Raw genomic sequence first — 15,200 nt, 5'->3', positions numbered from 1 at the left:
TGCGCCGGAAGTGGGGTGCGGAGGTGTGCAGCGCGCTGTCAGACTGGCTCGCAGGCGGCGCGGCCGGCGGACCCGTTCGAGACAGCGCGGGCGGCTCGGGTCCCCTGGGGCTCCGCAGCAGGAGGACGCCATGGACGACAAGGGTAAATCAAGACAGGCCAGGGCTGCTAGGCTACAGCAGCGCCGTTCAGGGGTCCCCCCAACCTCTCACATCCAGGCTGAGCTCCCGAAGAGATTTCTTTTGAATTTCAGGCTGCTCCGCTGGTTGTGTTTCCAGAGTCACAACTAAATCCCTCGCGCTGCTCTTGTTTTCAGGGATGCGCCCTGGCAGTATCTGCAGGCATCCCTCCCACACATACGCTCCTTCCCAGTGCCAGTCTCCTTCCTGCCTTGTTGGATCTGTCATTAAAATTAGAATGAATAAGGCATATTTGATGTGCTCATCTAGTATGGTTATTAAGTGAAAAACAAGGGCAAACTAATACACTTTTCATGTAAAGAAATAAAGGGGAGTGGGTGGAACTCCATGTATAATATTTGTAACATATATGTGTATGTGAATAGACATGTATTAGCATAGACTGTCTGGAGGGGTGCAGGAGAAATTGGCAAGATGGTTGACTCTGGGATCCTCTCAGATTTTAGGACCAAAGAGGCTGAAGAGAGAATGACTTTTCATCATCATTTACTCGGGCTTAATTTTTAGGCCTTGCACACCAGTAGCTTTTTTTTTTTTTTTTTTGAGACGGAGTCTCGCTCTGTCACCCAGGCTGGAGTGCAGTGGCGCAGTCTCGGCTCACTGCAAGCTCCGCCTCCCGGGTTCACGCCATTCTCCTGCCTCAGCCTCCCAAGTAGCTGGGACTACAGGCGCCCGCCACTACGCCCGGCTAATTTTTTGTATTTTTAGTAGAGACGGGGTTTCACCGTTTTAGCCGGGATGGTCTCGATCTCCTGACCTCGTGATCCGCCCGCCTCGGACTCCCAAAGTGCTGGGATTACAGGCGTGAGCCACCGCGCCCGGCCACCAGTAGCTTTTTCAAAATAAAAAAGAGCTCTTGCAAACAGCAAAGTGGTATTTTCTCTATTCCCATCAACATTTATTGCATCCCTGAAACCAAATACCCTAAAAAGAAAGTATTTTTTAAATTGTTTGCTTCTTAAAGTCAACAGTCATTAACAAGCTCTCTTGCCTTATAGGCTGCTAAATGAATTAGGTGAATCACTTTTTTCCCTTTTTCCAGAGTTAATTGAATACTTTAAGTCTCAGATGAAAGAAGATCCTGACATGGCCTCAGCAGTGGCTGCCATCCGGACGTTGCTGGAGTTCTTGAAGAGAGATAAAGGTATATAGAGAGTCATCTGTTAACACTCTGGGACTTAGGATAGTCTTTTTTTTCTTTTCTTTTTTTTTTTTTTTAAAGAGACGGAGCCTCACTCTGTCACCCAGGCTGGAGTGCAGTGGCGAGATCTTGGCTCACTGCAACCTCCGCCTCCTGGGTTCAAGCAATTCTCCTGCCTTGGCCTCCTGAGTAGCTGGGATTATAGGTGTGCACCACCTTGTCCGGCTAATTTTTTTGTATTTTAGAGACAGGGTTTCACCATGTTACCCAGGCTGGTCTCGAACTCCTGAGCTTAGGCAATCTGCCCGCTTTGGCCTCCCAAAGTGCTAGGATTACAGGTGTGAGCCACTGTGCCCGGCCGTTTGTTTTTTTTGAGACAGAGTTTTGCTCTTGTCTCCCAGGCTGGAGTGCAATGGCACAATCTCGGCTCACTGCAACCTCTGCCTCTCAAGTTCAAGCGATTCTCCTGCCTCAGCCTTCTGAGTAGCTGGGATTACAGGCATGCACCACCACGCCTGGCAAAATTTTTTTTTTTTTTTTTGAGACGGAGTCTCGCTCTGTCACCCGGGCTGGAGTGCAGTGGTGCCATCTTGGCTCACTGCAGGCTCCGCTTCCCAGGTTCATGCCATTCTCCTGCCTCAGCCTCCAGGTAGCTGGGACTACAGGCGCCCGCCACCATGCCTAGCTAATTTTTTGTATTTTTAGTAGAGACGGGGTTTCACTTTGTTAGCCAGAATGGTCTCGATCTCCTGACCTCGTGATCCGCCCATGTCGGCCTCCCAAAGTGCTGGGATTGCAGGCGTGAGCCACCGGGCCCGGCCAAATTTTTTTATTTTTAGTAGAGACAGGGTTTCACCATGTTGGCCACAGTGGTCTTAAACTCCTAGCCTCAGGTGATCCGTCCGCCTCGCCCTCCCAAAGTGCTGAGATTACAGGCGTGAGCCACCATGTTCGGCCAGGAAAGTCTTCTAATGACTCTTAGAAATGTAGAAAGTGAGAGATGCATGTTTGCCTGCATAAAGTAGTAATACAGCTCCAAGCTCAGCTTCTGCCTTCATTTCAGACCTTTCAATCTGGAGAGAGCTCTTACGTTGTCATGAAAAGGATCCCTTTCATAAGTGAAACAGACTTTGAATCGAGAGTGACTATGTTATATTGTGTTAACCATGATGCGTAAATTTCAGTAGCAGTTCAGCTTTATAAGTGTTTATTAGGCCTCCACCTTGTGCCAGATTCTGTACAGATGCTACAGGGAATATTCCAGAATAAATTCTGGTATTAGTATTATTTATTGTGATCCCCTAATTCAGCACCCTAAATGTAAGCATCTGGGTATAGCATGAAATCTTGTATAAGCAAAATAATAATGCAGCCTTTAATCTGAAGGGCTTGCCTAGAGACACATGTCTTTAAGGCAACCTCCAGTGTCTTCCCATTGTTCTTAAAATAACATCCAAACAACCTTAGCCTCACCCATACCACCTTGCAGACCTCATCTGCCGCTGCTACTTAATGTCTTTCCATGCCTCAGCCTCCCAAAGTGCTGAGATTACAGGCGTGAGCCACCATGCCCAGCCACCCAGCTTTATTTCTATGTGTGCTTGTTTACTATCCGCTTCCTCTATTACAATCAAAACTCCATCACAGCAGAACCCTACCTGTCTTGTTCACTGATGTATCCCTAGCATCTAGAATAGTGCCTGGTATATAGTATGTACCTAGTAAATATTCACTGAATGAATGAATGAATTGAAGATACAGGTCGGGGCTGTGGCCCTAATGTGAACATCACATTCCTTGTTGGATCATTCCAGGGGAGACAATCCAGGGTCTGAGGGCGAATCTCACCAGTGCCATAGAAACCCTGTGTGGTGTGGACTCCTCTGTGGCAGTGTCCTCTGGCGGGGAGCTCTTCCTCCGCTTCATCAGTCTTGCCTCCCTGGAATACTCCGTAAGTGCCTGTTCTCCCTGGGGTTACCTTTCCACTTCTCTGTTTAGTGACAGACATTCTCAGCATTAACTGGATCTTCCCTGTCCCCTCAGTTTGCTCTTTTCTTCCTAGGATTACTCCAAATGTAAAAAGATCATGATTGAGCGGGGAGAACTTTTTCTCAGGAGAATATCACTGTCAAGAAACAAAATTGCAGATCTGTGCCATACTTTCATCAAAGATGGAGCGGTGAGTGGATAATCATCATGGTGGTAAGGAGGAGCAACGGTTTCGAGTCCGACTGCCTGGGGTAAAATCCGGGCTCTGCCACTCACTTGCTGTGGAGACTTGAACAAGTAACTTAACCTGTCTGTGCAGCTTTCTCATCTGTTAAATAAGGATGACAATAGTACCTACCTCCTTGGGTTGTTGTGAGGATTAAATGAGGCAAGACATGTAAGGGGCAAGGGGTGTGAGGGCTTGGTATTGTGCCTGGCACTTAGTAAGTGCTGCATGAATGTAGGTCTTGTTATTAGAGATGGTTGTCATTGTAAACAGGCAGAGAGGGACAGTGGGACAGCACGTGTGATTCTTGATTTATTTTATTTATTTATTTATTTATTTTGAGACGGAGTCTTGCTCTGTCACCCAGGCTGGAGTGCAGTGGCGCGATCTCAGCTCACTGCAAGCTCCGCCTCCTGGGTTCACACCATTCTCCTGCCTCAGCCTCCCGAGTAGCTGGGACTACAGGTGCCCACCAGCAAGCCCAGCTAATTTTTTTTATTTTTAGTAGAGACGGGGTTTCACTGTGTTAGCCAGGATGGTCTCGATCTCCTGACCTTGTGATCCACCCGCTTCGGCCTCCCAAAGTGCTGGGATTACAGGCGTGAGCCACCGCACCTGGCCCTGATTCTTGATTTAATACAGTGTTTTACTAAAGAAGTATTTTTATGATTGTATGTGTAGTAAATCTGAATTAACAGAACAGCTCTTGTCACTGGTTAACACTGAGGACTTTCTTAGTGAAGGTTAGCAATAGAGGGAAATTGAGGGAAATTTTCTTTTTAACTTCATTTTAGATGCTATTACAGAGATGTAAAGCCACGCAGTGTTTATAAGTGAGGAAAGACAGGAGGTGCAAGTTGAACCATCTTCCAGTAAAGGTGTAATGAAACTATCATAATGCCCCTCCCACCAGCATACGTCCTTTTGCCACCTAGGCCTCCCCTGATCATAAAATCATTTACTTGCATTTTGACTCTTAAATCTTGTCCTCCATTTTATTAGCCCCTTCCCAACCTTTGAAGTATGTTATTAAATAAATGGCATAATAGATGTGAGTGAAACTTGTAGAAAAGCCAGTTGCAAACGAAGCCTTTTTTGGGCAAGTGGAGGCAAGGTTGTGACTTCCTCTCGCTGGGGCCTTCTCCTTCCACAGACCTGCTGTGCCGTCAGTATTGTGCGGGTTTCGTTTGCTCTAGTGTAGTGTGGTATGTATGTACTTTACCTGCAGTCACCTACTCAGGACTGATTTAGACAAAATTTATAGCAGAGCTGCTCAGATTTGCACATGCAGAGGAGTCAGCTGGGGTCTTATTAAATGCAGATCGGGATTCAGTGGGTTTGGGCTAGGGTCCACGAACCTGCCTTCCTAACGGGTTCTCAGGTGAGACCCAGAAAGGAGCTAGAGAGCTGGTTCTGCCCCCTTGTCTTATTCTGTCTTCTGCACTCTTCCATAGAAAAGAGGTTATGGAGGCTGGGCATGGTGGCTCATGCCTGTAATCCCAGCACTTTGGAAAGCCAAGACACGCAGATTGCTTGAGTCCAGGAGTTCAAGACCAGCCCGGGCAACATGGCAAAACTTCATCTCTACTAAAAATACAAAAAGTTAGCCAGGCGTGGTGGCACACTCCTGTGGTCCCAGCTACTTGGGAGGCTCAGGTGGGAGAATCACCTGAACCCAGGAAGTTGAGGCTGCAGTGAGCTGAGATCATACCACTGCACTTCAGCCTGGGCAATTGGAGTGAGATCCTGTCTCACCAAAAAAAAAAAAAAAAAAAAAAAAAGAGGTTATGGGCCTACTGTGGTGGCTTATGTGTATAATCCTAGCCGGAGGTTCCCTTGAGGCCAGGAATTCAACACTAGCCTGAGCAACATAGGGAGAGAGGCCCTGTCTCTACAAAAAATAAAATAAATTAGCTAGTCACAGTGGCGCACATCTGTAGTCCCAGCTACTGGGGTGGCTGAGGTGGGAGGATCGTTTGAGCCCAGGATGTCGAGGCTACAGTGAGCCATGAACACTGCACTGCACTCCAGCCTAGGCATCAGAGCAAGACCTTGGCTCAAGAAAGAAAAGAAAACAGATTATGTCTAAGTGTCTACACATTGCATCCACGCCACAGATAGGTTGTGATTACCCCAAACAGTGTTTATAAATTCAAAAAAATTAGTTAGCCATCATTTCAAAATTGGATTTTTGAAACATCACCTGGTCTGGCAATCTTGGGGCCACATGACGCCAGCTGGGGCTGAGGAGTCCTGGCCCTCCTTAGCCTTTTCTTTTTGAGACAGAGTCTCACTCTCTTGCCCAGACTAGAGTGCACTGGCATGATTATGGCTCACTGCAGCCTCAACCTCCCAGGCTCAAGTGATCCTCCCACCTCGGCCTCCCAAGTAGCTGGGACTATAGGCACATGCCACTGCATCCAGCTAATTTTTTTTGTTGTTATTTTTTGTAGAGATGAGGTCTTGCCAAGTTGCCCAGACTGGTTTTGAACTCCTGGGCTCAGGCAGTCCTCTCACCTTGGCCTCCCAAAATGCTGGGATTACAGGCGTGAGCCACCACACCCAGCCTTCTGTAGCCTTTCGCTTTGCTGCTGGCCCCACCCAACCTGCTGCAGTGACTTCTGCTACCTACTTGGTTCCTGTAGGCCTGCGTGTGCAAACCATGTCTTAGAAATAGGAAAACCAACCCAAGGGAACCTCATGGAGCCTTCAGCTATCCAGGCTTTTGTATCCTTTGGGTAACACTGTGTGGGAGTTCCATTTCTGCACCTGCTACAGGATGTGAGACCTGGCAGAAACTTTTTTAGCTTGCACATGGGATGGAAACTGTACCATCAGGTCTCCTTTCTGGTTGTGGTTGATTTGTGAGAAAGTGTACAGAGATGCTTAGGGTGTCGGGAACACGTGCCGCAGTGCAGAGGGTGTGAGTGAGCAGCAAGGAGCCTGCCCCTTTGACAAAGCTTTCTCGGTCCACAGACAATATTGACTCACGCCTACTCCAGAGTGGTCCTGAGAGTCCTGGAAGCAGCCGTGGCGGCCAAGAAGCGATTTAGTGTATACGTCACAGAGTCACAGCCTGATTTGTCAGGGCAAGTACCTTTCTGTTCAGTTATGTGCCCAGCCATAATTTTACAGAGCAAACTGCGGATTACAGTCCAACAGGATCAGAACCAGAATGTGCCCCCAGCTTGCCAGCAGTCAGCACTGCCTTTCATTGTACCTTTTCCTGCCTTTGGAAGAAAAATCACTGAATTTGCAGCAGGCCGCAGTATATGATCTAGGGGTTTCACTTAAGTAGTTAACTCCGTGGAAGAGCAGAGATTGTATTGATGAAGATTTTTATCAAGGAATAGGTAACTTATATCTCCCTCTCTCTAGACGATAATCAAAGCAAAACTTCCTCCTTTTTTCCTGAATTTACATCTCTTACCCAGAGTCTAAGAGTATAGTTTTCCAAAAATACTTCTTTCTAAAGAACTCAAATTCTTGTTTCCTTAGTCCAAAGTATTGGGATCTGCCCCTTAACCCATTAGTATTAATGTGAGTTTCAAGCAAACATCCACTGTCCACATTAGGTGACATACATCACTGTGGTACTGTCTTGTACTTTCTCTAACGTTCTCAAAATGTCATCTTCAGTAAGAAAATGGCCAAAGCCCTCTGCCACCTCAACGTCCCTGTCACTGTGGTGCTAGATGCTGCTGTCGGGTGAGTGCCCATCTTCCCCAGCCATAATCACCTCCCCCACCCCATGCTGGCTTACAGCAAGTTTTCAGATTGAAAGTTTGAGTCCCGTTCATAAAGCCACACCAGGTAGCGTCCTACTTCTTAATTAATAGCTGCCCTAAACCAGCAAGCTTGTTATGAGGTTGTGATAGCATACAAAGAAGACAGAGCTGTAGGATGTTGGGGAGAGTGGGAGTTGTGTCTATAGCTTTATGGCTGTAAGTGTTGAGTTTGTTGTTGTTGTTGTTTTTGTTTGTTTGTTTTTTGTTTTTTTGAGATGGAGTCTTGCCCTGTTGCCCAGGCTGGAGTGCAATGGCATGATCTTGGTTCACTGCAATCTCCACCTCCCAGGTTCAAGCGATTCTCCTGCCTCAGCCTCCTAAGTAGCTGGGATTACCGGCGCATGCCACCATGCCACGTTAATTCTTTTATATTTTTAGTAGAGATGGGGTTTCACCATGTTGGCCAGGCTGGTCTCGAACTCCTGAACTCAGGTGATCTGCCCGCCTTGGCCTCCCAAAGTGCTGGGATTACAGGCGTGAGCCACCACGCCCAGCCAGTGCAAATGCATTTTAAGAGCAAAGTACAAAGGTCAGTTGGGATCAGCAGAGGGTAATCAGGGCTCTGTATTTCTGTGAAGACCTGGCTGTCCTCAGTGGCATACTGGGATGCTTTGTCTCACCTAGAAGATGCAGCTTGTGTCGCAAAGCCAAGTCACATGTTCCTGGGATTGTCAGTGTATTTCCCAAGAAAAAACAAGAGTAGTGATCTCTTGGAATGAAAACAAGATAGATGATTAAGGAAATTAGGAATGTGTTCAAAAGTAAGGATTTTGAGGAATTCTACTAATTGCTCATTTTAAAGACTAAATTGGCCTTCATCCTACCAGAAAGATTCTTAAGGTTGGGCACAGTGGCTCATACCTGAGGCAGGTGGATCGCTAGAGTTCAGGAGTTGGAGACCAGCCTGGGCAATATGGCGAAACCCCATCTCTAGGGCATGGTGGCATATGCTGTGGTCCCAGCTACCTGGGAGGCTGAAATGGGAGGATCGCTTGAGCCTAAGAGGTAGAGGTTTGGGCTGAGATCATGCCACTGCACTCTAGCCTGGGCAACAGAGTGAGATCTGGTCTCAAAAAAAAAAAGAAAGATTTTTAAAACTGCATAACACTTTTGTCCAACTTCAGATCTCATCAGATTTTAAAATTTTGTTTGGTTTGTGCTGAAGTAGAAAAGAAAGTAGAGGATACCACACTTGGAAGGAAGACTGCTGTGTCAGGACATTCTTGCTTCACTTACACACATATGTACGTGTGCATGCGCCGGGCGGCAGTGTGAAGTGTATGTCTCATTGTAGGGTCATGACCAGAAAACACCCCTGGTAACAATGCCAGGGGTCTATCGCGTGTTAAGTGCGCTTTAAAAAAAACAGGTAGTTATGGGAGGAACTTACCTTGATAGAAATGGAATATTGATCTTTGCAGATGATGATGCTACTCGTTAGAGCCAAGAAAATAAAGCATGAAAAGCTTTTTTTCCCCTTAGCTACATCATGGAGAAAGCAGATCTTGTCATAGTTGGTGCTGAAGGAGTTGTTGAAAACGGAGGAATTATTAACAAGGTAAGAGCATCAGTTCTCCCCAGTTCCCTGCTCAAGACTTGGAGGTGTCTTGCTGACCTAGGACACCACAGCAGTGTTGATTATGGTTCCTTCTAATCCTGCTTCACTTCAGGACTTCATCATGGTATTGAGTTGTTGCCCATTTCCCGTAAGTCATAGCAATGGGCAGTCCAGTTTCAGTCAAATCTTTTTTAGATTGATCTACATAAATGAAGACAATGTAATTTGGTCAGGTGTGATGCCTTATACCTGTAATCCTAGCAATTTGAGAGGCCAGGGTGGGAGGATCACTTGAGGCCTTGAGTTCAAGACCAGCCTGGGCAACATAGTGAAACCCTGTCTCTACAAAAAATTAGAAAAATTAGCTGGGCGTGGTGGTGCTTGCCTGTAGTTCCAGCTGCCCAGGAAGCTGAGGCAGGAGTATCACGTGAGCCCAGGAATTTGAGGTTGCAGTAAGTTATGATCACACTACTGCATTCCAGCCTGGGCGATGGTGAGACCCTGTCTCAGTAAAAAAAAAAAAAAAAAAAGTGTAATTTATATTTATACAAAATTGGCTTGAATTGGAATTGGGGTTTGTCTGGTTTTTGCTTTATTTATGTGTATATGTATGTTTTATTTATGCATATATATACACACACATAATATATATACACAAATATTTTTAAAATATTATTTATATATTTACATATAAAGTATGTATGTATAAAATACGTGTATTTATATATAAATATTATATATATTTTAAAATAGAGACACATTCACTCTGTTGCCCAGGCTGTAGTGTAGTACAGTGATCATAGCTTACTGCAGTCTTGAACTCCTAGCCTGAAGCAATCTTTCCACTTCCCAAAGTGCTAGGATTACAGGCATGAGCCACTGTGGCCGGCCTGTCATTTGTTTTCATTTTAATTGAGCACATTTGACCTCAATTTATTACAATCTCTCTCTCCATTATTTAATTTAGAAAAGCTTCATGAAAGCTTTTTTTAGTTAAAATATATGTAACATAAGGCCGGGCGTAGTAGCTCACGCCTATAATCCCAGCACTTTGGGAGGCTGAGGCAGGTAGATCATCTGAGGTCAGGAGTTCGAGACCAGCCTGGCCAACATGGTGAAACCCCATATCTACTAAAAATACAAAAAATTAGCTGGGCATGGTGGCGGGTGCCTGTAATCCCAGCTACTTGGCAGGCTGACGCAGGAGAATCGCTTGAACCTGGGAGGCGGAGGTCTGCAGGCAGAGTGTTGAGTCACATGGTAACTATATATTTAACTTTCAGAAACTAATGATTTTCCACAGCAGCTGCACTACTTTACATTCCCACTAGCAAAGCACAAAGGTTCCAATTTCTCTACATCCTTGCCAACACTTGTTTTTTTAAATTTTTTTATTTTTTGAGATGGAGTTTCACTCTTGCTGTCCAGGCTGGAGTGCAATGGCACAGTCTTGGCTCACTGCAACCTCCAGTGCCCGGGTTCAAGCGAGTCTCCTGCTTCAGCCTCCCTAGTAGCTGGGATTACAGGCACCCCCCATCCCACCATGCCCAGCTAATTTTTTGTATTTTTAGTAGAGATGGGGTTTCCCTATATTGGCCAGCTGGTCTCAAACTCCTGACCTCAGGTGATCCACCCACCTCGGCCTCCCAAAGTGCTGGGATTACAGGCGTGAGCCACCACATCCAGCCTCTAGTGGCTGTTTCTATATCCTTTGAGAAACATTTATTTTTTTGATTCCAAAGTCAGAATTAGATATATCTAATATATGTATTAGATATATGTATATCTATATTATATACATAACTTTCTATTGCTGTTTTTTAATTGTTCCTTTATTGTAATTGAGACGAGGTCTCACCGTGTTGCCTAGGCTGGTCCCAAACTCATGGGTTCAGGTGATCCACCCACCTCGGCCTCCCAAAATGCTGGAATACAGGCATGCACCACTGTGCCCGGCCCGCTTTTCTGTGGCTTCTACTTCAGATGCACTCTAGAGCTCATCCATTCCATTTTCTGCCTTCCCAGATTGGAACCAACCAGATGGCTGTGTGTGCCAAAGCACAGAACAAACCTTTCTATGTGGTTGCAGAAAGTTTCAAGTTTGTCCGGCTCTTTCCACTAAACCAGCAAGACGTCCCAGATAAGTTTAAGGCAAGAGTTTTACATATTTGAAGGGGTACTAAAGTCTAAACAGAAACCTTTGGAAATTGTAGTCCTAAGAATGTTCCAGTAATTTTTTCACTTCCTATTGCTACTTTCCCCAACACTTGGAATACAAAGATAAATTGGTGATTGGACTCACACATTTGTCCCTAGAACTTCAGTCTTTCAGTCTCTTTAAGTAGCACCATAGATGGGTGGAGAGGAAGCCCGAAGCTGGTGGGTAAGTCCCAGCTTTGGGCTTAACTGAGCTCAGCTCCCATCACCACAACTTACAAACTGTGCGAGTTGAGGCAAGTCCTTTCATTTCAACCTCTGAACCGGTTTTCTTGTCTGTAAAATGGCATAGCAGTATCTGACAGGGTCATGAGGATTCTAAGATAATCTTAGCACAGTCCCTGGCACGCTGCAAGCTCTCTATTGTGACTCTCGATCTTCCCTTGAGAGGTCTGGAGAAGTTAATCCGGCATGAGAATGAGGGGACATGGGATTTAAGTTTGTTACACTACAGCTCTCAGCCAGCACACTGCCATGATCTGGCTCATGGCCACAACTCTGCCCTCGTCTCTAGTGTCCTGCATAGCTTAGTTTCTCCCATTTTCAGAGAGCAGTCTCAGGAAGTAGCACACTGATCACTCACACCAAGGCCCTACCAGGTCAGAGCACTAAATATTCAGTGCCGACTAATGTGTACTTCTCTCCTCAGTATAAGGCAGACACTCTCAAGGTCGCGCAGACTGGACAAGACCTCAAAGAGGAGCATCCGTGGGTCGACTACACTGCCCCTTCCTTAATCACTCTGCTGTTTACAGACCTGGGCGTGCTGACACCCTCAGCAGTCAGCGATGAGCTCATCAAGCTCTATCTGTAACCTGTGAGCCCTTTCCTGCCAAGGTGCAGCTTACGTAGTTGAGGCAGGGTGAGTAGCTGCTTGACACCCCAGTGAGTCAGGCCAAAACTGAGATGTGTTTAATGAAGATTTATGGAGTAAGGACTTAAAATCATACATCTTGGAGAACCTTTCTTACTCATTTCAGTCCCATCTAAAAATGTGTCAGCTATTCTAAATCCCAACTTAAATTGTTCTTACGGTTTCTAGAAACTTTCCTTTTCAGTTTCCAGAAATACAAGTTAGATAATTGGCTACTTAACTGATGAAAGATGAGCCCAAGTCCACCTGTCTTCATCCTCCCCTGCACTCCAGACTGATCTGCCTAAAGCACGCGAGATGCAGGCGAAAAGCAGCCACACCCCTCTGCCACAAATGACCAACAGCTGGTCAGGACGTTACACGCGGTGCCTTGTAAGAGGCAAGAAACACTTGCTGAATCTGCATCTGGCTTCCAGTGGTAAGCACATTCCTCAGCAGGATCAAGCCAAACAGTAAAAACTACCAAGAGAACACGAGGAAGGCAGAAACGATGTTTAGCAACAGTATTCTGCATGGTTCACTGCTTAAGAAAATGCCTTCTGGAATATTTGTAAACTGAAATTCTGTATGTGTAAGAGATGTTTAAATATGTTTGGGTCCTAAACAGCTTTTTAAAATTATACTTGGGAATAAATTCAGCATCTTTTCAAATAAACTCTATGAAAGACGCTGATGTGGTGTTGCATCAATACTGCAAGCTGACCAGGCCATCTAGGGGAAAACACTGTCCAGCTACATTTACACACTTAAGACCCAGGCAATCAGGACACCATTTATTCAACAGGAGGCATAAAAACTATAATTCTCTTTCCCGGAATATGACTTAATCCCTCTGTTTTTCAGCTATTCACCAATAAAACAATACTGTGACTATTAACACAGAAAAACCCCAGCACATTAGCCACCCCTGCAGGACATCAAAGGATAACTGAAGCCCAGGGCCAAGCACATTCAGGAGGTCAAATGCCTGAAGATACTGAGGAATGGTTTTGAAAATCAGAAGTCAAGAAGACTTCTGTATCTTTATGTTTAAAAATAACTATAAAATAGCCTCAGAAAAAAGAGCTTATATATATATATATATATATATATATATATATATATATATATATATAATATGTACATATGTCTATATGTGACCCATCATGATAAATACTGACATCTATTATTTACACTCAAATAATTTTACATTTTCTTCTGTTAGACTACTCCAAGACTGGAATTGTTTTGTTTTGTTGTTTTTAATGAGAGGGTCTCGCTGTGTTCCCAGGCTGGTCTTGAACTCCTGGGCTCAAGTGATCCTCCTGCCTCAGCCTCCCAAAGTGCTGGGATTATAGGCAGGAGCCACCGCACCCGGCCAAGACTGGAATGTTTTTAGTAAAATATTCTGAAGTGTGAAATCCTTCATTTCTCCCTCATCTGAAAGGACAGCTTTCAGAGACATCATTCTTTTCAGATGTCTCCTGAAGTTGTGATTTTCGTTAAAAGCAAACTGGAGCCATCCACCAAGTTAGGGAACAGCTATGTCCTTGTGGGTTCATCTGTGGCACTGGAATCAGCAGTCATCTTCCAAATCTGAGATCCCTAAATCCACTGTCTTGATTGTTCTTTTGCCAGTTGTCAACAAGCCCTTCTCAAATTCTTCTTCAGTTATTTTGCCTTTCTTAAGTTTTTTCAAGAGTCTTGTGTCATTAAGAAGTTCTTCCATGTCCTCATCTTCAATATCAGAACCCTAAGTGCAGAAGAAACCAATAAACTACTAAATTTTTCAGCAATAGTGTTGTAGTGAAACCAGCAGTTTTAACTCAAGAACTATAAGCTCTCAGATTGGCTTCTGCAAATAGAGCAAATTCCCCACCCTGGTCGCCAACGTAACAGAAATCTGACAGCCCCACACAATTCCTATTTAAAGAACTACTACAATAAATTTGTTCAAGATTCTAAGTTAATGTAAGTAAAAGTAAACTTTACCTCTTCCCTTTTCCTTTTCTCATTCATTTTTTTCTTCTTTTCTTTTTTGGCCTTCTGCTTTGACCAAGCTTTATTTTTTATGAATTTTCTTCTCCCTTCATTTTCTGTTTTCTCTCTTCTTTGTTGCTCCAGGAGTTTCTGCCTCTGCTTTTCTCTGATTTTATCTTTAAATGGAATCGTGTCGGTATTAACGTCCACGGGCACAAAATCTGGAAACTGCTTTCCTCTCAATTCTGGCATCTTGGGCATCCTCAGCAGGGCAAAACCTCGAGCAAGGCTGGCAAAATCAAGATCTGATTCAATCAGAAGATCAGAGTTAGCGCACTCAACAGGATTAGAACAATCAGTAATGGCTTACAATATAATTTTTTTCTAACCAAAGGGTTTAATGCATTCATTTTAGTTAGAATGAAAATAATTGAGGCCGGGTGCAGTGGCTCACGCCTGTAATCCCAGCACTTTGCGAGGCCGAGGTGGGCGGATCACGAGGTCAGGAGATCGAGACCATCCTGGCTAACACGGTGAAACCCCGTCTCTACTAAAAAATACAAAAAATTAGCTGGGCGTGGTGGCGGGCGCCTGTAGTCCCAGCTACTCGGGAGGCTGAGACAGGAGAATGGCGTGAACCTGGGAGGCAGAGCTTACAGTGAGCCGAGATCGCGCCACTGCGCTCCAGGCTGGGTGACAAAGCGCGACTCTGTCTCAAAAATTAAAAAAATTACATTTTTACAAAGTTAAAAGGAATACTCAGCAGCCAGTGGCCAGTTTATTCTGTGTCTACTCAAAACCTGGGAACACTTCCTTTTATGAGACAAAGCAATCTCATACTTGTAAGACCACCACATAGTTAAGATGGAGACATTATCACATGAAGAAGTCCAACTTACCCTTTAATCTGAAAATCAGGTTGCATTCATGCTTTGCATAAGCTTGGACATATGACACAAAAGCTTTCATGCCCTTTTCAAACACAGCTCTGTCAGCCAGGGCCATGGACTTGAGTTTTGGCAGAAGGTCCGCTGTGTTTCTCTGGGGCTTCATCTCCTGCAGGGGGCACTACACACACACACATACCACATTCTCACCTTCCCTGGCTGGCATCATATCCCCAGGGCTCCCCATCACAACCAAGAAAAACAAAAGCGAAACAATTCCTTTTCAACTGTTGAGGTCTGAAGCCCAACTCCAACCCAAATATTTCACATGCTCTGTAAAGTATGTTAAATTTTTAAAAGAA

The 15,200-nt window shown here is 44.9% G+C and overlaps 2 protein-coding genes across 20 annotated transcripts in view, besides 1 other annotated feature; one reads left to right on the top strand and one right to left on the bottom strand.

Moving 5' to 3' along the window:
* EIF2B1 (eukaryotic translation initiation factor 2B subunit alpha) lies at positions 2–13,282 on the top strand. The gene is made up of 9 exons (NM_001414.4): positions 2–143; positions 1,242–1,343; positions 3,155–3,291; positions 3,403–3,519; positions 6,532–6,644; positions 7,195–7,263; positions 8,826–8,901; positions 10,927–11,052; positions 11,768–13,282. The coding sequence occupies exons 1-9, from the start codon at positions 131–133 to the stop codon at positions 11,930–11,932; spliced, it is 918 nt and encodes a 305-aa protein (NP_001405.1). The 5' UTR covers positions 2–130; the 3' UTR covers positions 11,933–13,282.
* Positions 11,112–12,311: an enhancer, noted in NCBI's record as "CDK7 strongly-dependent group 2 enhancer chr12:124105924-124107123 (GRCh37/hg19 assembly coordinates)". NCBI's record gives its function as "activates an origin of replication core promoter dependent on BRD2, BRD4, P300/CBP, MED14 and CDK7 cofactors, with strong dependence on CDK7, by STARR-seq in HCT116 cells {active_cell/tissue: HCT116}" and the evidence as "EXISTENCE:reporter gene assay evidence [ECO:0000049][PMID:35650434]".
* DDX55 (DEAD-box helicase 55) overlaps positions 12,745–15,200 on the bottom strand; it is an 18,845-nt gene continuing 16,389 nt past the window's right edge. For 6 of the 19 annotated variants that reach the window (XM_047429221.1, XM_047429222.1, XM_017019711.2 and 3 more), the window contains 3 exons: positions 14,851–15,019; positions 13,964–14,256; positions 13,107–13,724 (listed from right to left, as the gene is read on the bottom strand). In XM_047429221.1, coding sequence (XP_047285177.1) covers positions 13,548–13,724; positions 13,964–14,256; positions 14,851–15,019 — 639 coding nt within the window. In that variant the 3' untranslated portion in view covers positions 13,107–13,547. Of the gene's footprint in view, positions 13,725–13,963; positions 14,257–14,850; positions 15,092–15,200 lie in introns of those variants that run through there. The other 13 variants (XM_017019715.2, XM_017019716.2, XM_047429227.1 and 10 more) reach the window with 10 other exon arrangements.

This window comes from Homo sapiens, chromosome 12 (genome assembly GCF_000001405.40).
Source record: "Homo sapiens chromosome 12, GRCh38.p14 Primary Assembly".
In the NCBI taxonomy this organism is placed as follows: domain Eukaryota; kingdom Metazoa; phylum Chordata; class Mammalia; order Primates; family Hominidae; genus Homo; species Homo sapiens.
This window is presented reverse-complemented; position numbering and strand designations above follow the sequence as displayed.